This window comes from Homo sapiens, chromosome 1, assembly GCF_000001405.40.
Source record: "Homo sapiens chromosome 1, GRCh38.p14 Primary Assembly".
NCBI classification, from domain to species: Eukaryota; Metazoa; Chordata; class Mammalia; order Primates; family Hominidae; genus Homo; species Homo sapiens.
The window spans coordinates 228483880-228506792 of NC_000001.11; the positions used below are offsets into that span (position 1 = coordinate 228483880).

Below are 22913 nucleotides of genomic sequence, written 5' to 3' on the forward strand. Positions count from 1 at the left end.
TTTTTTTTCTCCAAAATGAATAGTGATATGACATACATTTCTCTTTCTTTCTTCTCTTTCTTCCTCTCCCTTCCTCCCTCCCTCCCTTCCTTTCTCTCTTTCTTTCCTTCCTTCTTTTTCTCCTTCCTTCCTTCCTTTTCTTTCTTTCCTTCCTTTCTTCTTTTTCTTTTCCCTTTCTTCCTTCCTTCCTCTCTCCCTCCACTCCTTCCTTCTCTCCCCCACCCCCCGCCCCCACCTCTCTCTCTCTCTCTCTCTCTCTTTCTTTTTTTTAAGACAAGGTCTTAAAAAATTCTCTCATTTCCCAGGCTGGAGTGCAGTGGCATGATCACGGCTCACTACAGGCTCAATCTCCTGTGCTCGGGTGATCCTCCCACCTCAGCCTCCCAAGTAGTTGGGTCCACAGGTGCGTGCCACCACGCCCAGCTAAATTTTAAAAATTTTCTGTACAGACAGGTTCTTGCCATGTTCCCCAGGCTGGTGTTGAACTACTGGGCTCAAGCTATCCACTCACCTCAGCCTCCCAAAGTGCTGGGATTAACAGGCATGAGCCACCTCTCCCAGCCACATTTCTAAACAAAACAAAACAGCCCAATTTTTTACAACCCAATTTTTATTATTTTCATTTCCTGTTATTTTTATAGTTTGTTTTCTAAGAAAAGGAATTCCAATCAGAAAATCCTTAATCGATACTGCTACGTGGATTACAAGAAGCAGTATTCACAGAATCAAGTGTTTTTTTTGTTTGTTTGTTTTCTGTTTTTTGTTTTTTTGAAATGGAGTTTCACTCTGTTGCCCAGGCTGGAGTGCAGTGGTGTGATCTCGGCTCACTGCAACCTCCACCGCCCAGGTTCAAGCGATTCTCCTGCCTCAGCCACCCAAATAGCTGGGATTACAGGCACGTGCCACCATGCCTGGCTAATTTTTGTATTTTTTTTTTTTTTTTGAAACTGAGGGAGTCTTGCTCTGTCGCCAGGTTGGAGTGTAGTGGCATGATCTCGGCTCACTGCAACCTTCGTCTCCCGGTTCCAGCTATTCTCCTGCCTCAGCCTCTCAAGTAGCTGGGACCACAGGCGTGCACCACCATGCCCAACTAATTTTTGTATTTTTAGTAGAGACGGGGTTTCACCATGTTGGCCAGGATGGTCTCGATCTCTTGATCTTGTGATCCACCTGCCTCAGCCTCCCAAAGTGCTGGGATTACAGGCGTGTGCCACCACATCCAGCCTAATTTTTGTATTTTTAGTAGAGATAGGGTTTCACTATGTTGGCCAGGCTGGTCTTGAACTCCTGACCTCAGATGATTCACCCGCCTCGGCCTCCCAAAGTGCTGTGTTTACAGGCCTGAGCCACGGCTCCCGGCCAAGTTTCCTTTTTTTTGTTTGGTCTGCTTACTTAATAGTGGAAAGAAAGAGAGTCTCGTTTTATTTTCCTCTTTCTTAACTGGGCAGAGTGTACATTTTTTTCTCATGTGTGTTCAATCATTTGTGTGCTTTTTTTTTTGTGATTTGAAAAATCCCATGACAAGGTGTATTTTCCATCATGCTTTTCCTTACCTAATTTTATAAACTCTTTGTATATTTGTGGTTACAATGTTCCTAATTTGGCTATTTGCCTTTAATTATAATTTTTGATATTTTCTCATTCACAAGATTAGTTCATTATGAAGTTTGCTCATTTTTTATATTTTTTACTTTTCTCTCCAGCAAGTTCCTAGTTGACTCAACAATATCAGCAAGGCTCGGCTGGAAGCCTCTAATCTTTACTACACAGAAATAACCTCGGTTTACTATTCATGTTTCCCACGGGCATCTAGTGCATTTCCAAGTCGATTTAAAAAATCTTCACAAAGACAAAAATACCTCATTAGATCCTGCGCTTGCTTGGAATACAGATTTATAAAAATTTTTTTTTGTTTTTGTTTTTTAAGACAGAGTCTCGCTCTGTCGCCAGGCTAGAGTGCAGTGGCACGATCTTGGCTCACCGCAACCTCCGACTCCCTGGTTCAAGTGATTCTCCTGCCTCAGCCTCCTGAGTAGCTGGGATTACAGGCATGCGCCACCACGCCCGGCTAATTTGTGTATTTTTAGTAGAGACGGGGTTTCACCATGAGCCAGGATGGTCTCATATCTTGACCTTGTGATCCGCTCGCCTCGGCCTCGCAAAGTGCTGGGATTAGAGACGTGAGCCACGGCGCCCGGCCCAGATTAATTTTTTAAAATGCAAAACTTGCACAATCTTATTTTAACCATGCTTGCTTGTTTTCAAAATAATTAAAAAACAAAAACACAAGATTGCTCTTCCCAAAGGCTTATTTCTTTCCTTTAAATTTATTTTTTAAAGAAAAGCTAACGGCCGGGTGTAGTGGCTCACGCCTGTAATCCCAGCACTTTGGGAGGCAGAGGCGGGTGGATTACGAGGTCAGGAGTTCGAGGCCAGCCTGGCCAACATGGTGAAACCCCGTCTGTACTAAAAATACAAAAATTAGCCGGGCGTCGTGGCAGGCGCCTGCAATACCGGCTACTCGGGGGGCTGAGGCAGGAGAATCGCTTGAACCCGGGACGCGGAGGTTGCAGTGAGCCGAGATCGCGCCACTGCACTCAAGCCTGCCTGGCAACAGAGCGAGGCTGTCTCAAAAAAGAAAGAAAAGCAAAGCAAAGCTAACAAATGCTCTTCTGTCATGCATCATCACAGAATCAATGAGAGCTCCCCCCAGCCAGGAGACAGCGGACAACCAGGGTAGCTTCCCAGGGGGCCAGAGGGAGGCTGCGCGAGAAGAGGCTCAGCGGGATGGGTCCACGCAGGGAGATCCCACGCAGGGTGGGCGTATACGAGTGTCCACGTCCGGAGGGCCGTTCAAGGGCGGGTCCCTGAAGGAAGGGTGCACGCAGGGCACGTCCACGCGGGCAGGCCCGTGCACGCAGGGCGTGCCCATGCAGGGCGGGTCCGTGCAGGATGAGAGCAGCGGAGGAGGCCCACGCAGGCCATTTCCCGCCCCGTCCCCAGCCCACGCGGGCGAGCTACCGCGGGGGTACGCGCAGCTCAGATCCTAGCAGCTTACAAAAACAACCTTTTAAAAATGGAACCTTCAAGTAAAAATAAAACTTTGTTTCCCTCTTTCGCAGGAGTTACTGAAGTAGGAAGGGACAGCCCAGTAAGATTTCAGGATACGACTTGGGCCGGTCCGCAGGCAGTAGAGTGAAGCGCGCAGCTGCCAGGACTTGCGCGGTGACGTGCGCCGCTGCCAGGACCTTGCAGGTGGAGAGCATAGTTGCCAAAATCAAGGCGGAGGAGCGCACCGCCGCTAGGATCCAGGCGGAGAAGCCCACCGCGGCCAGGACCTAAGGATGCAGTACACTGCTGCCAGGATCTTGTCTGTGGAGCGCAGCGCGGCCAGGACCTCCGGCTGCAGCACACCGCTGCCAGGATCTTATCGGCAGAGCGCTCCGCGGTCCGGACCCCGCCCCGTGCGCGTCCCCGACCCCGCCCCGTGCGCGTCCCCGGCGTTGGCGTCTTCGTCCTGTTGCTGGTCTCCGTCCGGTCGCCGGCCGTCTAGGTCTCCGGCCCTCCCCAGCCGCTCCTGCGCCCTTGCCGGCCCCGCCGCCCGCAGCCCTGGCGCTCCCTGCGGGCCCCGCCGAGGCCGCCTGCGCCCTGTGCCAGCGCGCGCCCCGGGAACCGGTGCGCGCCGACTGCGGCCACCGCTTCTGTCGGGCGTGCGTGGTGCGCTTCTGGGCCGAGGAGGACGGGCCCTTCCCGTGCCCCGAGTGCGCCGACGACTGCTGGCAGCGCGCCGTGGAGCCCGGCAGGCCCCCGCTCAGCCGCCGCCTTCTGGCGCTCGAGGAGGCGGCCGCGGCGCCCGCGCGCGACGGCCCGGCCAGCGAGGCCGCGCTGCAGCTGCTGTGCCGCGCCGACGCCGGCCCGCTCTGCGCCGCCTGCCGTATGGCTGCGGGCCCCGAGCCGCCCGAGTGGGAACCGCGCTGGAGGAAGGCGCTGCGCGGCAAGGTGCGCGCCGCGGGGTCCCGTGCCCCACCCCGGACGGTGCCCTGCGCCTCTCCGCCCCCGCCCCGGTCCCCCTGAGCCCTGGGCCCTTCCCGTCTCCACTGTTCCTGTCCCCGGATTGTCCCCGTCCCCGGATTGTCCCCCTCCCCTCACCGCCACGGGTCCCCTCTCCAGCGTGTGCTGGGCCCCTCCCTCCTGCGGCTTGCCTCCCCATATTTCCTGCGTCTCTTCGGAGTCTGGTCCCCTTCCCCGTCTTGGTGTCCCCTGCTGGGCGGTGCCTTATCTCCCCACCCCCTACCTTCTACGAAGTCCTTCCCCCACCAGCGCCCATCTTTGTGGTCCCATCACTAGCTGTGCCCTGTCTCGCCCTCATAGACCCCCTCTAGTTCCTACAGATTGACTCCTCCACTCACTCTTCCCTTGGGGGAGACATCACGCCTCTTGCCCCTCTGTATTCCACTGTGTCCACAGGCCTGGCCCACCTTCTCGTCTGCTCCCCGGGCCACCCAGCCCTCGCCTGCACCCCCTGTCCCCTCTCCCATCTTTCAGAAACCCGCTCTGAGAGTCTGGCAGCAGCGGGTCCGGGAGTCTGGAGCCTTGCCCATGGCGGGTTGGTTGTGGGACACAGAATAGGAGACAACAGCCAGCCTGGGGTCCTGCTCTTCAATACAGGGGAGGGGAAGCCAGCCAGACTGTGTCCCTGGGTGCTCCTCCTGCATTGGGGGTCCTGCCACCGGGCAGAGCGACCCCCATCCGGCTCAGGCAGGGCAGGGTGTAGGGCAGGCTGTGCAGACCTTTGGTACAGGCCGAACTCACACTGAACAGGGCCACTTACAGACACAGAACTCCTAAACCCACCTAGACAGTCCCCTTAGCCCCAGCACCCAGATCCTTCTGAATAGGTGTGAAGCCCAAGAAACCTTTTGACTGCCTGTGCGTTCCTGCCCTAGACAACCGGGCTTCGAGGTTATCTCTGGGATGGTCAGACTGTGTGCAGTCAGCTGGGGTGATGTCCCTCAGTACTGGGCTGGGTTGGGGGACCCAGAGCTTCTGCCCACCCCTGGTGACCTTCTTTTCTTTACAGGAGAACAAGGGGTCTGTGGAAATCATGAGAAAGGACTTGAATGACGCCCGGGACCTGCATGGCCAGGCAGAGTCAGCAGCTGCAGTGTGGAAGGCAAGTGGGGGGACCTGGGGCAGCCTGGAATGAGGGGACTGTGGGCTCAGGGCTCTAGACAAAGGGACCACCAGGCCAAGTGGGCCAGGCCTCTGAACTGCTCAGCTGGTTGGTTGGAGGAGGGGCCTCTGGACTTAAGTGAGCTTCAGGGTATTTTTTTTAGGATGTGTTTGTATTTCTCAAATAGAATCTAGCCAAAGCCAGTGGAAGCCTCTTTTTCTCCTCACATTTTACCTGTAGGTGATGGCAGCATCAGACTTCTTTTTTTTTTCCCAAGAGACAGAGTCTCACTTCATTACCCAGGCTGAAGTGCAATGGCATGATTGTAGCTCACTGCAGCTCGAACTGGCCTCAGGCGATCCTCCCACCTCAGCCTCTGGGACTATAGGCACGTGCTACCACACCTGGTTAATTTTAAAATGCTTTTCTAGAGGTGGGGGTCTTGCTGTGTTGCCCAGGCTGGTCTCAAACTCCTGACCTTAAGCGGTTCTCCCGCCTTGGCCTCCCAAAGTGCTATTTTTTTTTTCTTTTTTAGAACACATCTGTAATTTTCTGTGGTCCTCTTGTTCTGATCTGAGAGTTGCTCATTATTTTTTAGAGGCTAGAAGTCCAAGATGAAGGAACTGGCAGATTCCCTGTCTGGTGAGGGCGTTTCCTGGTTCATAGATGGTGTCTTCTCACTGTGTCCTCACATGGTGGAAGAAGTGAGGGTGTCTCTGGGGCCTTTGTGTAAGGACACTGATTCCGTTCTTGAGAGTTCCACCCTCACAACCTCATCACCTCCCAAGGGTCCTGCCTCCTAACGCCATCACCTGAGGGATGAGGATTTCAGCATGGGGATTTGGGGAGGACACAGACATTCAGACCAGAGCAGCGTTACTTTCCTTGGGTGCCTTCCACAGTATTATATCCCAAGGGGACATCCCATAGATTCTTTTAGGTTACTCACCAGTAAAGCTCTTTAGTCGTTTAAACTCTATTTGGTGACTTTTTCCTCGTGTAGTAAAAACCTGTGTGCCATTTTCTCTGCGTTTCATAAATTCCTATCTCCTTCTTTTAACCTGAAAGACAGAGTGCTTTTCACAGGTGCAGCAGCTCTTGGGTAACTGGCTGCATCTCGAGGCTGAGGCCCACGTTTTTACCCCAGCTTGAGGCTGAGGTGGGCTCTGTGCTCCTGGTGCTGCCAAGCCCTTGCCTGCTATCCACAGGCCTGAGGTGCAGGCCTCCCTCAGACAGTGACGGGTTACACATGGGGTCCCTGATGCCACTCAGACCCCTGGCACTCCACACTGCCCTTGGGGCTGCTCTGAACTTCTCCTTGCCTTGTGAGTGGTCAACACTGCCCAGTGCAAGTGAGGCTGGAAGGCTTTGGGGACCTCCAAGTTTTCAGTAACCCTGTGTTACCCCAAGGGAATTGTTTTGCCCACAGATTTTAGCAGGTTGGAGCTTTCAATCTGTCCTGTTTTGGGGGTTTGTGGCTTAGATGCTGGGATGAGAGAAGCCACCTAAATCCAAAGGAAGGAGTTTGCAGCGTGTTGCATCAGCCAGCCAGCAGACACCCAGCTGTCATTTGCATTCTCAGCAACAAAAGCCTTGGCCCCTCATGACTATGGGTGTCACCTGCCCTGTGTGGCCCAGGGCCAGGTGGAAGCCATCCATGACTGAGTAAAATCAGAGTAGCATCCTGCTCTGCTCTCCTGTTTGCAAGGTTAGGAGTTGGCTGAAAACCAGCTGAAGAGTGGCAAGTGTGAATGCTGTTTGTTGAAGGCTGATGGGATGGTTTTCAGCCATTGGAGTTCTGGTGTGGGCACAGCAGGGACAGTTGCTGGCAAGATGGGTGTGTGTCCTGCCCTGACAGTCACGTGCCTGACAGGCTCTAGACCTAGCAGGGCCACTCAAGGATTTACTGTCCCCTTGGCCATGGGAGATGGGAGAGGGACAGTCTTCCTGTGCAGCTGAGCACTGCAGTGTAGGGGAGAAAGAACTCTATTTCTCCCCTTTTAGGGCCCCAGGCTGGGCGGGAGAATTAAACTGACATAAGCTAAACTAACAGGGTCAGGTGCAGTGGTTCATGCCTGTAATCCCAGCAACTTGGGAGGCTGAGGTGTAGGAGGATTGCTTGAGGCTAGGAGTTCGAGACCAGCCTGGGTAACATAGTGAGACCACCATCTGTACAAAAATTAATAAATTAGCCAGGTATGGTGTTGCATCTGTGGTCCCAGCTACTTGGGAGGCTGAGGTGGGAGGATCACTTAAGCCCAAGAGGTTGAGGCTGCAGTGAACTGTGATGGCACCACTGCACTCCAACATGGGTGACAGAGTGAGGCCCTATCTCAAAAAAAAAAAAAAAAAAAAAATAAAGGGAGATGGGTTAATGGGAGAAAAAACATAGGATTTTTTTTTTTTGAGATGGAGTCTTGCTCTGTTGCCCAGGCTGGAGTGCAGTGGTGCGATCTTGCCTCACTGCATCCTCCACCTCCTTGGTTCAAGTGGTTCTCCTGCCTCAGCCTCCCGAGTAACTGCGACTACAGGTGTGCACCACCACGCCTGGCTAATCTTGTATTTTTAGTGGAGATGGGGTTTCACCATGTTGGCCAGGCTGGTCTTGAACTCCTGACCTCAAGTGATCCAACCACCTCGGCCTCCCAAAGTGCTGGGATTACAGGTGTGAGCCACCGTGTCCAGCCAGGCATATTAATTTAACACAAGTTTTATACAGCACAGGCTCCCTTATAATGAAATGAAGACTCAAAGTGGCAAAATTAAATCACTTATATACTGACTTGGACAAAGACTAGCCACTTGTAAAAAAGCAACTACATGATGTGGGGATGCTTGAAAGAGTTGTTTTCACAAGGTCTGTACCAAATTCTGTCGGCCTTGACTTCCTGTCGTCCTTGATGATAAAATCATTTTATTTGATATGGGGAGGGCGTCTTTCACTTGGGAATTTCATTTGCTTTTAAGAAGCAGAATGGAGGTCAGGGTGATCTTGCACTGTTTTTTGATTTTTTTTAAAAAAGGCCTTGCTCTGTTGGCCCAGGCTGGAGTGCAGTGGTATGGTCATAGCTCACTGCAGCCTCAAACTCCTGGGCTCAAGCGATCGTCTTACCTCAGCCTCCCGAGTTGCTGGGACCATAGGTGTGCACCACTATGCCTGGCTAATGTTTTTGATTTTTAGTAGAGACAGGTTTTCACTGTTGCCCAGGCTAGTCTCGAACTCCTGGGCTCAAGCAATCCTCCCACCTCAGCCTCCCAAAGTACTGTGATTACAGGCATGAGGCACCGTGCCAGGCCTCTTCTGTTATTGTTTTTTTTTTTGTTTTTTGTTTTTTTTTGGCTCACCGCAACCTCTGCCTCCCAGGTTCAAGCGATTCTCCTGCTTCAGCCTCCCAAGTAGCTGGGACTACAGGCGTGCGCCACCACGCCCAGCTAATTTTTATATTTGTAGTAGAGATGGGGTTTCAGCAGGTTGGCCAGGATGGTCTTAATCTCCGGACCTCATGTTCTGTCTGCCTCAGCCTCCCAAAGTGCTGGGATTATAGGCGTGAGCCCCCGTGCCTGGCTTTTTTTTTTTTTTTTTTTTTTTTTGAGATGGAGTCTCGCTCTGTCGCCCAGGCTGGAGTGCAGTAGCATGAACTCGGGCTCACTGCAACCTCCGCCTCCTGGATTCAAGTGATTCACCTGCCTCAGCCTCCCGATTAGCTGGGATTACAGGCGTGCCACCACGCCTGGCTCATTTTTGTATTTTTAGTAGAGACGGGGTTTCACCATGTTGGTCAGGCTGGTCTTGAACTCCTGACCTCATGATCCGCCCGCCTTGGCCTCCTGGAGTGCTGGGATTACAAGCGTGAGCCACTGTGCCTGGCCTAATAGTCGATGTGCCTGAGCAGCATGTTTTGGAGTGGCATGTTCTTAACTCCTTCAAGAGCAAACAGGTTCCCCTTCCCCTGGGGAGGGTGGGTGAGGACACAGGTCTTTTCCTGCCACCCGTTTGCAGGGACACGTGATGGACCGTAGGAAGAAGGCACTGACCGACTACAAGAAGCTGCGGGCCTTCTTTGTGGAGGAGGAGGAGCATTTCCTGCAGGAGGCTGAGAAGGAGGAGGGGCTCCCTGAGGACGAGCTGGCTGACCCCACTGAGCGGTTCAGGTCACTGCTGCAGGCGGTCTCGGAGCTGGAGAAGAAGCATCGCAACCTGGGCCTCAGCATGCTGCTGCAGGTGCGGGAGCCCCGCTGGGTCTGCCCACCATCGGGCCAGGGTGGACGCAGGCAGCAGCGAGCCATTGGGGGACCATTGCCCGAAGTCAAGGCTTAAAAGCCCAGCCTGACTCCCACTGCCGTGGCCTTGCAGGGCTGAATTTCGGGAATGGGTGGGTGGTCAGGGAAGGTGATGGGAAGGGGTTTTAAGTTGAGGAGGGTCTGAGGTGTCCCTGACCTTCACAAAGGAGGGCACTTGGCATCCCGAGTGCCCGAGCATGGAAGGCTCCTGCCTCGCCCTGGGGTCCTGAAGGCAGAAGCAGCCAAGAAACCCAACCTCAGGGCTTTTCTTCTGCCTCTGCCCAGGGCCTGGCCTGAACCCCAGACCCTGCAGCAACCCAGATGGCCCTGAACGGTTCAGTTGCCCGTGCCAGCCATAGGTGACAAGGCTTTGGCCCTGGGGAGACGGAAGTCTGGGCCAGGCCCTGGGTTTGTTGTGCTCAGGACAGTACCTCATGCGCTGTCTCATGTGCGCTCTCTCTTTCGCTCTCTCCTTTTGCCTCTGTCTCTGACTCTGTGTGTCTCTTTCTCTTTTTGTCTCTCTGTCTTTCCCTCTCCCCTCCCATGCAGTGATGGCGCCAACCCGTGGCAGTCCCAGAGCTGGAGGCAGGAGGATGGATCCTCATCTCCATGGGAAGTGTCAGCGTGTGGCTGCCAGGGAAGCGTGGCAGGCGCCTGGCCTTGGGTCCATCTACATAGTTGCGTGTTTCAACAATGTCCATTTATCCTTCACCCCGAGGCGTGTTTTGGGGGCTGCAAACACCTCCCGGTAGAGGCTGGACCTGAGGACCCTTCCCACCTGTGCCCGTCCCTTCCTGAAGTCCTAGCCACAGCCCATCCTCCATGAGTCCCGGCAGCTCTGGGTCATGCCCTTCCCTGGTCACCCATCTGCCCCTCACCTCGTCATCCAGGGACCCAGACCCTGCACCTTCCATGTGGGCCCACAGATCCTTGGCAGGTACCTGAGGTGCACCATTGAGTGTCGGATTTGGGGTTAGCATCCAGAAAGAAGAATGCGCATGACGCTCTGTGAAGGCTGGAACTCAGGTCTTCAGGGAGAGAAAGGAAGACTGGATTGCACCTTGATGCCTCCTGAGGAGGCGGCCCCCCTCTTGAGGTGGGCGTGGGCCCGGCCCAGCCTTATCCAAGTCGCTCTGTCCACCTCCCCCTTCCTGGCCCCCACCCCACTCCTGTGCCTCCCAGGAGCCCTCCCTGTGCTCCACCTGCCTCCGCAGAAGGAAGCCTCTTTCTCTGTTTCCCTGGGTGAGGGGGCTGGCAGGTGGCTAACCCCATTTAGCATCTCCAGGCCCTGCCATCGTGTCTCATCTTGCTGTTATCTCTAGCTCTTTCCCTCCTCCCATTTCCTTTAGTAGTTGAATTTTGCAAAGCTTGTAGCAGTAGCTCAGTTGCCTGCAGCATCCTTGTGTGTAGATAAATTAGTCGACAGAAACTCAGCACTGGGGACAGGATTGCAAAGTCGGGGACATAGATGCAGACAGTTGTTGAGATTTGGGGATAGCCGGGCTTGTGAGCGGTGCCCATTTCCAGATGAAGCCTTTCAGCCCTTCTGAGTCCCCGGCCCTTGGTGCGATGTCTGTGAGTTTGACCTGCCCAGCGTGTGGGCTGGCTCAATGCTGAATAAAGTGGGTTTGTGTCAGCTCGTTTGCTTCGTCTCCGTGTGTCCACCTGGCCTCTTCCCCCTGCCCTGGCCACCCTCCAGTGTCAAAGGAAACTTCCTCGTGACACGTGCTAAAGCATGGTGAGGAGGACTTTGATTGGGACCATTGAGATGGGTGTGGGACCCTTTCCTTGGGGCCTGGGGGGAGATGGGGCTCCACCCCGACGTAGCAGGGCAGGGGTTGGAGGAGCGAGGAGCAGTATAGGGTCCATGGGTGGGAATGACTGTGAGGAGACATCAGGGCTGAGGGGGCTCTGGCTAAACCCACCTCACAGAGTCCTTGCTGCAGGCAGGCAGGGCGATCAGACATTGGCTGCAAACGGTCAGAGAGGAACCCAGTCAGGTACCATTGAGGGTGGTCAGATATTATGGTTAACCAAATTAGGGTTCTTGCTAAAACTGGATTTCATAAGAAAGGGCAAAGAGGGCCCTAGGAGAAGATTCCAGAGCCTGGCCAGAGTTTGGCCAAGTAGAGAATCTTTGTCAGCACGCCAACAACATCCCGACCCTGAGACCTCCAGTTTGTCTTTCTCACTGTCTCCGCCTGCTGCAGTCTGCTGTCATCCCTGAGCATCCCTGCCCCTGCCCTGCACACCTGTGATGCTTGCCCGGACAGGTCCTGATGGCAGAGTCTCCCACAACATCAGTGTCTCCACATCACCAGGTCCGACAGTGGCTTCACCATCCTCACCTAACCTAGCTGACCAGCAACATCCCACCCTGTCAATCACAACCTCTTTCTATTTAAGAAAATTATATATTTATGGGGCACAGTGTGATGTTTTGATATCTATGTACATTGTGGAGTGACAGATTAATGTATCCATCTCATGTTTTTTTTGGTGGTGAGAATATTTGAAATCTACACTCAGCAATTTCAAATACAGTCATCCCTCTGTGCCTAAGGGGGATTGGTTCCAGGACCCCCTCATGGATACCAAAATCTGCAGATACTCAAGTACCCTGCAGTCAGCCCTCCCTCTGCACATATGTGGGACAGTCAGATACAGAGGGCCAACTGCGTACAGTACACGGTTATCAGCTGAAGTCACCATGCTGTGCAATAGACCTTGAGTTTATTCTTGTATAGCAGGGACTCTGTACCCTCTGACTAGAATTTCCCCAAATCCTCTTGTCTCAGCCCCTGCTAACCACCGTTCTACTCTCTAATTCTATAAATCAACATTTTGATTCCACATATAAGTGAGATCATGTGATATTTGTCCTGTTCCTGGCTTATTTCACTTAATATAAATGTCCTGTAAATTCACCCATGTTGCAAATGGCAGGGTTTCCTTTTTTATGGCCAAATAGTATTCCATGATGTGTATACACCACATTTTCTTAAGCCATTTATCCACTTTATCCCTTTATCACTTTGCTTCTAGACCACGTAGGTTGATTCCGTATCTTGACTGTTGTAAAAGTGCTCTTAAGAAACACAGGAGTGTGGGTATCTCTTCCATATATTCATGTCGTTTCCTTTGGGAAAATACTTAGCAGTAGGATTGCTGGGTCACGGTACTCTTTTTAAGTTTTTGAATAACCTCCATATGCTTCTCCATAATGGCTATAATAATTTACATACTCACCAACATTTATTTTCTTTGAAATTAGTCATTCTAAGAAGTGTGAGATAATCTCATTGTGATTTGGTTTACGTTTCCCTGATGATTAATGATGTTGAGCATTTTTTTATATACCTGTTGGCCATTGGTATGTCTTCTTTTGAGAAGTGTCTCTTCAGGTTCTTTGCTCATTTTTTAGTCGTTTATTTGCTTTCCTGCTATTGAGTTTGAGTTCCATGTATATTTTGGATATTAACCCCCTACTTAATGTATGGTTTGCAAATACTCTATCCCAATTTGTGAGTTGTCTTCACTCTGTTTATGATTTCCTTTGCTGTGCAGAAGCTTTTTAGCTCTATGCAATCATGTATGTTTATTTTTCTTTTGTTGCTTGTGCTTTTAGGGTCATATGCAAGAAGTGATACAACCCTGAAACCTAGGCCAGTGTCATGGAGTTTTTCACCTGTGTTTTCTTCTACTGGCTTTACAGTTTCAGGCCTTACAATTAAGCCCTTGTCTGTTTTGAATGGATTTTTGTGTAGGGACATTCCCTCCACAAGGGCTTTCTCTGGCCTTGCTGATGCTCCTCCGTCTCCCTTGTGTCCTCTCCACTCCACCCTCTTCATGTGGAAGAACCCTTGGCATCCTCGTGTGGCCTCTCTGTCCTATCCAGCCCCCCATGGTGACCTCACACTTGCCTCTCTGACGTGGGTCTCTCTCCCAAACCCTCTTCCAGGTCCAACCACTGCCTCCATCCCAGACTTGCCCAGGGGCCCAATCCCTGCAGTCCTCAGACATCTCAGAGCTGTCTCTGAGTTGTTTTCTCTAACAGTCCACAATAGGTCTGCAAAGGAATCCTGCAGGCTCTTCCTGTAGCCAAAGACCTTGACCTCATCTTACCTGCTCCCCGCCAGTCCCCCACCGTGGCCCACTGGCACTGTCCTCTTCTGCCCAGGAGACCTGGGGACCTCATCTCCTCCCGCTGCTCCAACAATGCATTCTCAACCCAGCAGGTAGATGGGTTTCTACTTTAAAATATGTAGGATGAACCAGTCTGGTGATCCGATGTACAACAGGAGGAATGTAGGTAATAAAATTGCACTGTTTTGGGAGTTCCTGCTAAATGACTAGACTTCAGCTGCTCTTGCCACAAAATCCTAAAAGTGGTTGACTCTGGGAGGTGATGGGAATGTTAATTGCTCCCCTGTAGTGACCATTTTGCTATCTGTTTGTACTTTGTAACATCACGTTGCATACCTTAAATATACACAATGAAATTTATTAAAACAATGAAAATAAAAACTAAGCAAGAGCCTGCCCCTGCTGTACTCAAGGCCCTGCAGCAACTCAGATTCATTCCGGGAAAGCTTCGCAGTGGCCTGGGAAGTGCTACATAATCCACCCCGAGCTCTTCCTCTCTCGTCACCACTGTGCCCCCTGCTCCCTGCAGACCCAGCATGATGGCCTCTCTGTTCTTCAGCAAGCCAGGTGGGCCCTGCCTCGGCCTCTGATCTCCAGGGAACATTTCTCCCCCATACCTGTGTGGCGGTTGCCCCTCTCCTTCAGGTCTGCTCCCACAGGGTGTTTTATAGAAATGGCTTGAAACAGACGCCCTTCCTCAGCCCTTGACCACGCAAGCTCTGAGGAGCCACTGGTGTCCCTGTGGCTTTGCTGCAACCAGATCTCTCTGGTCAAGGGCAGCCCTAGGCAGGAGGATCTCCGAGGCTGGCTGTGGGTGACATGTGGAAGGAAACTGAGGCCAGGCACTGCATAGAAAAGCAACAGTTTGTTTGCTGGAAGGTAGGGGACACATTCTCAAGACACTGATGTATTTGTCCAGTAGCTCAATACTTTTTTCTCAACTCTTATTTTCAGAGCTTTGTGGGAAAGCCGTGGATAGTTGGGACCCAAAGGTCGTTTTCAGTTTCAGGATCCTGTGGCCAAAGAGAGGAGATAAAAATGCTTGGGGCCATTTTACCTTCTACATTACCTAACTGAGTAGCTATTATTTCATGAGGTTGACAGCAGCAAAATATAAGGAGATGCTTAAACTATTTAGTAACTGGAGAATCATAATTAAAACCATAATGAGATACTGCTTTAGCTCGGGGTGGGTTGGGGCGGGGGTGGTTCGGGCGGGTGGTGGGAACTGCAGCACTAGGTGATGTTGAAGTCTGAGTGATGATGGCACATTAGGTGAGCCCAGAGGTGCTGTGAGGAGTGTAGAATAAGGCCGCTGCTTTGGAGTGCAGTCTGGGGTCAAACTAAAAGGCATACCTTGGAGAAACCATGGGTTTGCTTCTAGACCATTGCAATACAGCAAATACTGCAATAAAGCAAGTCCCATGAAATGTTTGGTTTCCAAGTGCATATAAAATGCTTTTATAGGCTGTAATGTAGTCTACTAAGTATGCAGTAGCATTATGTCTAAAAAAGCCAATGTATGTACCTTAATTTTAAAATACTTTGTTGCTAAAAAATGCTAATGATCATCTGAGTGTTCAGTGAATTGCCATCTTTTTGCTGGGGGAGGGTCTTGCCTCAATGTTGGTGGCTGCTGACTAATTAGGGTGGTGGCTGCTGGAGTTTGGGGTTGCTGTGGCAATTTCTTAAAATAAGACAATGAAGTTTGTCACATCAATTGACTTCCATTCAAAAGACTTCTCTGTAGCATGTGTTGCTGTTTGATAGCAGTTTACCCACATAACATCTTTAAAAATTAGAGTCACTCTTCTCAAACCCTGCCACTGCTTTATCAACTAAGTTGATGTCAATTCTAAATCCTTTGTTGTCATTTCAACCGTGTGCACAGCATCTTCACCAGAAGTAGATTCCATCTCAAGAAAACACTTCCTTTGTTCATCCATAAGAAGCAACTTGTCATCCATTCATGTTTTCTCATGAGACTGCAGCAATTCAGTCCCATCTCCAGGCTCCACTTCCAATTCTCGTTCTCTTGCTGTTTCCACCACATCTGCAGTGACTTCCTCCCCTGAAGTCCGGGATCGCTCAGAGTCATCCATGAGGGCTGGAATCAACATCTTCCAAACTCCTGTTCATGTTGCTGTTTTGACCTCCTCCCATGAATCATGAATGTTCTTAAGGCATCTAGAATGGTGAATCCTTTCCAGCAGGTTTTTAAAAATTTTCTCCCAGATCCATCAGAGGAATCATTGTCTAAGGCAGCTGTAGCCTTATGAAATGTCTTAAATAATAAGACTTGAAAGTTAATTATGGAAGTTAACTTGAAAGTTAATAAGACTTGAATGTTGTGTTAATGGCTATTTTAATATTTTAATGGACTTAAAATAGTAAACCATGCAGTAAACAGATGTGCTGTCATGTAGGCTTTGTTGTTTCATTTATACAGCACAGGTAGAGTAGATTGAACATAATTCCTAAGGGCCTTAGAATTGTTGTAATTGGTGAATGAGCATTGGCTTTAATTTGAAGTCGCTAGCTGCATGAGCCCCTAACAAGAGAGTCACCCTGTCCTTTGAAGCTTTGGAGCCAGGCATTGGCTTCTTTCTAGCTATGAGAGTTCTGGATGGCATCTGCTTCTAATAGAAGGCTGTTTTGTGTGCATTGAAAATCCGTTGTTAGTGTGGCCCCCTTCATCAGTGATCTTAGCTGGATCTGCTGGAGAACTTGCTGCAGCGCCTTCATCAGCTCTTGCTGCTTCTCCTTGCATTTTTATGTTACAGTGATGGCTTCTTTTTTTAAACCGCATGAACCAACCCCCGCCAGCTTCAAGCTTTTCTTCTGCAGCTTCCTCGCTTCTCTCAACCTTCATAGAATTGAAGAGAGGATCTTGCTCTGGATTAGGCTTTGGATTAAGGAAATGTTGTGGCTGGTTTGATTTTCTATTCAGACCGTGCACACTTTCTGCATATCTGCAATAAGACTTTCGCTTTTTTATCATTCGTGTGTTCACTGGAGTACTTTCAGTTTCCTTCAAGAACTTCTCCTTTGCATTCACAGCTTGGCTGACTTTGGCACAAGTAGCATCTTTCTGCTTTGGATGTGCCTTCCTCACTAAGATTGATCATCTCTAGCCTTTGCCTTAAAGTGAGAGGTGTGTGACTCTTCCTTTCACTTCAACACTTAGGGGCCATTATAGGGTCATTAATTGGCCCAATTTCAGTATTGTTGTGTGCCAGGGGATAGGGAGGCCTGGGGGGAGAGAGAGAGGCAGGGGAATGGCTGGTCTGGCGAGCAGTGAGGATGTACATGCCATTTTTCCATTAAGTTTGCTGCCTTGTATGGACGCAGTTCTTGGCATCCCTAAAGAATTTCAACGGTAACATGAAAGATCCCTGATCACAGATCACCAGAACAAAAGGAACAATAACAAAAAAGCTTGAAATATTGCAGGAGTTACCAAAATGAGACACAGACACCAAGTGAGCACATGCTGCTGCGAAAATGCCACAGGTCAGCTTGCTCAACGCATGGTTGCCACCCACCTTCAATTTTTAACAAATGCAGTATGCGAAGCGCAGTAACATGAGGTATAGGCTGTATATGAAAGGCAGTTAGACCAACCGGACGCTAGGGGGAGCCAGTCCCCAACACCGGGCTTGTTTCTCACACCAGCGGCATGTCTGTCGGGTGAGTTGTTCCCAAAACCACCTCCGGTTCTATAACTCACTAGAAAAGCCCCCAGAACCCACTGAAAGCTGCTACGCTTTCCGTTACAGTTTATTATGGGGAACGGAGACAACTTTAAGTCAGCCAAGGGAGGAAACCCATGGGGGAGTCCGGGAGAGGTAACAGAGCTTCGACTGTCCTGTCCCCGTGGTGTCTGGGCTGTGCTACCTTCCGGGCACCCTGTGTGACTGCACGGGGAGTTCTGCCAACCAGGGACACTGCCCAGCCTTAGAATCCTGGGTCTCTTCTGGCATCCAGCACCTAGGGATAGCTGACTTCCCACATGGCCAGTCTTAGTCTCCAGCCTCAGAGGAAGTCGAACTGCAGGACTCAAAGGGCCCCTACCGCACATCACATTGCTGCCGCTGGACTTGGCTCAGGGACTCCCGCCCCCATGTCACAGTGTTCTCTTCAGTGCAGCCAACCTACCCTAAACCACATTATGGGACTGTCCAGTGTGACCCAAGGCCACCAGGCAAACAAAGACCCTCCTGTCAGGCATGGCATCCCAAGGGCTTTGAGGTCACTTCCCAGCAGCAGAGTGCAAGGGCAGGGGGGTGTTCTTGGGAACAGCTCAGTTGTGGACTATGCAGTTTGCATGCCCACACTGTGGTCTGAAGGTGTCCCACCCTCCACATTAGTACGTTGAAATCCTCACCTTCAAGATGATGGTGTTATGACATGGAGCATTTGGAGGTGATGAGTTCATGAATGGGATTACTGCCCTTATAAAAGGGACCCCAGAGAACTCCCTCATCTCTTACACCATGTGAGGACTCAGTGAGAAGGTGCTGTCTATGAACAAGGAATTGACCTCACCAGCCACTGGATATGCTGGTGGCTTGATCTTGGACTTCCGGCCTCCAGAGCTGTGAGCAGCACACTTTGGTGGTTTCTAAGCTGCCCAGGCTGTCCACATGGACTGGGATACTATGTATTGCATCAGTTCCACCCCTGGGCTGTTATGCCAAAGAGATGCCCACAGGGTTCCATGAGGGCACAGGCATGGGATGGTTACAGAGCCATTGGTTGCTGTGGTGACAGGTCCTCACTGCTGAGGATGTGGAAAGGTGAATATGGTGGAGGCCTCAGTGGTAACTGAACTGAGTAAAAATTGTTCTGCTACAAGGGCCTGCACATGGGGTGCCCTTGACAAGAGATGTGCACATGGGATTTGCACATGGTGGTGCCCTAGGTTGTGTGTATGTGTGCATGGATCAGAGAACTCCAGGAAGAGCCCATTTTGCTGACGATTGATTCCTAAATGCAAATGCAACTTCTTCCAAGATGCAACGTGCAGAAGAGTGGGGGCAGGGCAACAGGCTATTGCCATTCCTGAGAACCGGGCTTACCTTTTTGGAAACCTGTGGATAGACTGCCCATCCAATTGCTGTTGGTGGTAGGATGTCCCCAAGTCTCGTTCTGCTGCAGGAGAGTGGGGTCACTGAACACAGAGCTATCTACAGCTGCAGAGGCTGTCTGGCAAGCACAGGGCTGTGGATACTGCACCCACCAATGGGCTGAAGGACTTTGCAGCTCAGGAGCCTCATTGGCTGTGCCAGAGTGCGGTTTGTCTAATCTATATCCCGCCCTTTCCCCTGTAAATTTTGAGCCCTCAAAATCATCTTTAGAGAAAGGCATAGACCTGTCTCCTAGGCTCATCCTTAACTTTGGCAAATACATTTTCTAAGGTGATTGAGACTTGTCTCGTCATTTTCCCCTATTGACAGGTCCCTCTCATAAGGAAACTAATCCCATTTGTGAGGCTCCACTTTCATGACCCAGTCACCTCCCAAAGGCCCCACCTCCTAATACCATCACCTTGGGGGTAAAGATTTCAATATATAAATTTGGAGAGTGGGACACAAACATTCAGATTGTAACCCCAGTGACTGGATTTAGGGCCCACCTGAAATCCAGGATTATCTCAATCCAAGATTCCTAATCAAGTCTGCAAACAGGAAGTCCTGTTTTTCAAATTGGATCACTTTTGTAAATTCACAGAAGTGTCATTTTGGAGGGTTACCATTTAGTCCTCTCTGCGGGGTGTCTTAACTTCAATCCTCTTGGAGGCCATCTGTTGAGAAGTGTGTATGTGCGTCATATATCCATGTTATAGGTGAGGAGATGGAGGCTCAGGGACATTAAGCAGCCCCGCATCCCACAGCTAGAGGCTGCAAAGTCAGGACTGAAGCCCACTGGAGGACCCCTGTGCCCTTAAGAGAGATGTGGGGGTGGCGGCTGGACCGAGGAAGTGGATTAACTGCAGTAGATAGCGCAGTAGAGGTGAATGGAGCTACAGAGGCAGCTGGCTCCCTGCGAGCACTTTTGGGATGAGGGAACCTGCAGCCCTGGCTCCCGGGGTGGGCCATGTGCCACTGGGGTTGCCCTTTACTGTGTGATGCCATAGGCTACCTGGGGAGGTTCCTGGCCCCAACACCACCAAACGCTCCCCCTTCCTTTTCTCTGGATTTTATTTTTGCTTTACATATATTTTTAATTAACACGTAATAATTGTATATATTTGTGAGGTTTTGTTTCTGTAATTCCTTCCTTCCTGTCTGGTGCATAGGGAGGTGCCCCATAAATGTCTTCAGTGAGGGAATGACTGCATCGCCCCACGCTCTGCTCATCCTAGCAGGTGATGGGGTCTTTCTCCCCACCCCTCAGAGCAGGTTTTACACTTTCAGGTTTGAGGAAAAAGCATTTTGAGAATTGTTATGGGTTCCATTTTGTATCCCCTGCCCCCCAGTCATCTGTTGAAGTTCTAACCCCAGGACCTCAGAGTGTGACTCTAATAAGCCCCCCTTGTCCTTGGGGGATACATTCCATGACCCCCAGTGGATGCCTGAAACTGAGGATAGTACCCAATCCTACACAGCCTGTGCTTTTTCCCATACATACATAGCTATGGTAAAGTTTATACATTTGGCACAGTAAGAGATTAATAACAATAACTAATAATAAAATTAGTGGGGTGTGGTGGTGCCTGCCTGTAGTTTCATCTACTTGGGAGGTTGAGGCAGGAGGATCACTTGAGCCAAGGAGGTAGAGACCAGCCTGGGCAACAAAGTGAGATGTTGTGTGTAAAAAATATATAAAAATTTGAAAAAGGTAAATAAACTAGAATGATTATGATAATATACTGTAATAAAAGTTATGTGAATATGGTCTTTCTGTCCTGCAAAATATCTTAACAAAAATAACTACAGTGGACCATGGGTAACTGAAACTGTGGGTGAGGAGGACTATGATATTTGGAGATAGGGTCTTTTGAGAAGTAATTAAGGTTAAGTAAGTTTATTGGGGTGGGCCCTGATCCAGTAGGACTGGTATCCTTATAACAAGAGGAGATTAGGATGCAGAGACACCCAGAGGGAGGACCATGTGAGGACACTGGGAGGAGAGGACTATCTGGTAGCCATGGAGCGAGGCCTGAGGGTGAACCAATGCTGTCTACACCTTGATCTTGGACTTCCAGATCAAGGAAAGAAATAAATGCCTGTTGTCTGAGCCACTCAGTGTGCAGTGCTGTGTTAGGCAGCTCTAGGAAATGGATAGAAGAGCTGATTAAAAATGCACATTCCTGCCACTCCATGGAACTGACTTCCTAAGTCTGCACTGGGGCCCAGAAATCTGCAGGACAGGACCCTGCTCTAAGGTTCTTAGAATCCACACTGAGAAACACTAATTCCAGTTTAGTCTCACAACAGCAAAGAAGTGAGGAGAGAAGAGAGTTTCTCAAACTTCATTTCACTATGCCCCCCAGAAGGAGCCTTTTAAGACTTTTTTTTCCTCATTGTCACCACGACCCTGCAGCTTCCACAGCACAGGTACTGTGTATCTGTTTATGTGCCAGGTTCTTCAGAGGCTGCCAGCCACTGTGATGCCTTTAGCCCCTGAGAACGAATTCTCACCCCCTGGGGAGGCATGTCATTCCCAATGAGAATGCATAAAATAGAACAAGAATTGCTCTCCACTTTTTTTGTATGCATATGTACACATATGCACATGCACACACAGATGTCCATTGAGACATAGAACATTTCATTATACAGTTCACAAGGAAAGTGCTGCTTAAAAGAATCCCAACCAGAGCACAGAGAATGGGAAACTGTTATAGGATGGAGATGTGTCAGCCATGGAATTACACCTAGCAGAATGGCTGGCTGCAGATGGAACTGCAGGGGAAACTGGTGGATTTGGGGGTCCCAGAGTTGGGCCCCGAGCTAGTCTAATGCTTCTTAGGCCCTCCATCTGTGCAGGGGACCCTATTGCTCTTCTGCAAGCTTTCTGTGAGGTTAGAATGAAGGAGCAGTGGCCTTTGCATGTGCCCTCCAGAGGTCATTACTGCAGTTGTAATTTCATCCTTACGGGGTGAGATCCAGGCTGGATTTGGGGTTGGTCACTCACTATGCATCCTGAGGCAGTGAGTTCACTATGCATCCTGGGCAGTCTGGGGTGGGAGGTGGAGCCAAGATGGCCAAATAGGAACAGCTCCGGTCTACAGCTCCCAGCGTGAGCGACGCAGAAGACGGGTGATTTCTGCATTTCCATCTGAGGTACTGGGTTCATCTCACTAGGGAGTGCCAGACAGTGGGTGCAGGACAGTGGGTGCAGCACACCGTGCGCGAGCCAAAGCAGGGCGAGGGATTGCCTCACTCAGGAAGCACAAGCGGTCAGGGAGTTCCCTTTCCTAGTCAAAGAAAGGGGTGACAGACGGCACCTGGAAAATCGGGTCACTCCCACCCTAATACTGCGCTTTTCCAACAGGCTTAACAAACGGCACACGAGGAGATTATATCCCGCACCTGGCTCAGAGGGTCCTATGCCCACGGAGTCTCGCTGATTGCTAGCACAGCAGTCTGAGATCAAACTGCAAGGCAGCAGCGAGGCTGGGGGAGGGGCACCTGCCATTGCCCAGGCTTGATTAGGTAAACAAAGCAGCCTGGAAGCTCGAACTGGGTGGAGCCCACCACAGCTCAAGGAGGCCTGCCTGCCTCTGTAGGCTCCACCTCTCGGGGCAGGGCACAGACAAACAAAAAGACAGCAGTAACCTCTGCAGACTTAAGTGTCCCTGTCTGACAGCTTTGAAGAGAGTAGTGGTTCTCCCAGCACGCAGCTGGAGATCTGAGAACGGGCAGACTGCCTCCTCAAGTGGGTCCCTGACCCCCAAGTAGCCTAACTGGGAGGCACCCCCCAGTAGGGGCAGACTGACACCTCACACGGCTGGGTACTCCTCTGGGACAAAACATCCAGAGGAACCATCAGGCAGCAACACTTGCTGTTCACCAATATCCGCTGTTCTACAGCCACCACTGTTCTGCAGCCACCTCTGCTGACACCCAAGCAAACAGGGTCTGGAGTGGACCTCTAGCAAACTCCAACAGACCTGCAGCTGAGGGTCCTGTCTGTTGGAAGGAAAACTAACAAACAGAAAGGACATCCACACCAAAAACCCATCTGTACATCACCACCATCAAAGACCAAAAGTAGATAATACCACAAAGATGGAGGAAAAACAGAGCAGAAAAACTGGAAACTCCAAAAAGCAGAGTGCCTCTCCTCCTCCAAAGGAACGCAG

At 50.7% G+C, this 22913-nt stretch overlaps 1 protein-coding gene across 1 annotated transcript, besides 14 other annotated features; it reads left to right on the forward strand.

Annotated features, from left to right (window-relative positions):
- Positions 2381-3242: an enhancer, noted in NCBI's record as "H3K27ac-H3K4me1 hESC enhancer chr1:228673961-228674822 (GRCh37/hg19 assembly coordinates)". NCBI's record gives its function as "activates a minimal SCP1, AML or CMV promoter by ChIP-STARR-seq in naive H9 embryonic stem cells {active_cell/tissue: H9 hESC(naive)}" and the evidence as "EXISTENCE:reporter gene assay evidence [ECO:0000049][PMID:30033119]".
- Positions 2562-2941: an enhancer, noted in NCBI's record as "active region_2696". NCBI's record gives its function as "activates an Ori minimal core promoter by ATAC-STARR-seq in GM12878 lymphoblastoid cells {active_cell/tissue: GM12878}" and the evidence as "EXISTENCE:reporter gene assay evidence [ECO:0000049][PMID:35858748]".
- Positions 3243-4103: an enhancer, noted in NCBI's record as "H3K27ac-H3K4me1 hESC enhancer chr1:228674823-228675683 (GRCh37/hg19 assembly coordinates)". NCBI's record gives its function as "activates a minimal SCP1, AML or CMV promoter by ChIP-STARR-seq in naive H9 embryonic stem cells {active_cell/tissue: H9 hESC(naive)}" and the evidence as "EXISTENCE:reporter gene assay evidence [ECO:0000049][PMID:30033119]".
- Positions 3243-4141: a biological region, named in NCBI's record as "H3K27ac-H3K4me1 hESC enhancer GRCh37_chr1:228674823-228675683".
- RNF187 (ring finger protein 187) lies at positions 3503-12309 on the forward strand. Its single transcript, NM_001010858.3, has 4 exons — positions 3503-3999; positions 5081-5173; positions 9174-9395; positions 10004-12309. Exons 1-4 carry the CDS (start codon positions 3610-3612, stop codon positions 10004-10006), a joined length of 708 nt encoding a protein of 235 aa, NP_001010858.2. The 5' UTR covers positions 3503-3609; the 3' UTR covers positions 10007-12309.
- Positions 3562-3681: a silencer, noted in NCBI's record as "silent region_1921". NCBI's record gives its function as "represses an Ori minimal core promoter by ATAC-STARR-seq in GM12878 lymphoblastoid cells {active_cell/tissue: GM12878}" and the evidence as "EXISTENCE:reporter gene assay evidence [ECO:0000049][PMID:35858748]".
- Positions 3942-4141: a silencer, noted in NCBI's record as "silent region_1922". NCBI's record gives its function as "represses an Ori minimal core promoter by ATAC-STARR-seq in GM12878 lymphoblastoid cells {active_cell/tissue: GM12878}" and the evidence as "EXISTENCE:reporter gene assay evidence [ECO:0000049][PMID:35858748]".
- Positions 4221-4949: an enhancer, noted in NCBI's record as "H3K4me1 hESC enhancer chr1:228675801-228676529 (GRCh37/hg19 assembly coordinates)". NCBI's record gives its function as "activates a minimal SCP1, AML or CMV promoter by ChIP-STARR-seq in naive H9 embryonic stem cells {active_cell/tissue: H9 hESC(naive)}" and the evidence as "EXISTENCE:reporter gene assay evidence [ECO:0000049][PMID:30033119]".
- Positions 4950-5677: an enhancer, noted in NCBI's record as "H3K4me1 hESC enhancer chr1:228676530-228677257 (GRCh37/hg19 assembly coordinates)". NCBI's record gives its function as "activates a minimal SCP1, AML or CMV promoter by ChIP-STARR-seq in naive H9 embryonic stem cells {active_cell/tissue: H9 hESC(naive)}" and the evidence as "EXISTENCE:reporter gene assay evidence [ECO:0000049][PMID:30033119]".
- Positions 6629-6923: an enhancer, noted in NCBI's record as "tiled region #4602; HepG2 Activating DNase unmatched - State 14:Gen5', and K562 Activating DNase matched - State 5:Enh". NCBI's record gives its function as "activates a minimal TATA promoter and a strong SV40 promoter by Sharpr-MPRA in HepG2 and K562 cells {active_cell/tissue: HepG2 | K562}" and the evidence as "EXISTENCE:reporter gene assay evidence [ECO:0000049][PMID:27701403]".
- Positions 8995-9940: an enhancer, noted in NCBI's record as "H3K4me1 hESC enhancer chr1:228680575-228681520 (GRCh37/hg19 assembly coordinates)". NCBI's record gives its function as "activates a minimal SCP1, AML or CMV promoter by ChIP-STARR-seq in naive H9 embryonic stem cells {active_cell/tissue: H9 hESC(naive)}" and the evidence as "EXISTENCE:reporter gene assay evidence [ECO:0000049][PMID:30033119]".
- Positions 17025-17124: an enhancer, noted in NCBI's record as "active region_2697". NCBI's record gives its function as "activates an Ori minimal core promoter by ATAC-STARR-seq in GM12878 lymphoblastoid cells {active_cell/tissue: GM12878}" and the evidence as "EXISTENCE:reporter gene assay evidence [ECO:0000049][PMID:35858748]".
- Positions 17025-17383: a biological region, named in NCBI's record as "Sharpr-MPRA regulatory region 4759".
- Positions 17089-17383: an enhancer, noted in NCBI's record as "tiled region #4759; HepG2 Activating DNase unmatched - State 4:PromP, and K562 Activating DNase matched - State 5:Enh". NCBI's record gives its function as "activates a minimal TATA promoter and a strong SV40 promoter by Sharpr-MPRA in HepG2 and K562 cells {active_cell/tissue: HepG2 | K562}" and the evidence as "EXISTENCE:reporter gene assay evidence [ECO:0000049][PMID:27701403]".
- Positions 17225-17314: a silencer, noted in NCBI's record as "silent region_1923". NCBI's record gives its function as "represses an Ori minimal core promoter by ATAC-STARR-seq in GM12878 lymphoblastoid cells {active_cell/tissue: GM12878}" and the evidence as "EXISTENCE:reporter gene assay evidence [ECO:0000049][PMID:35858748]".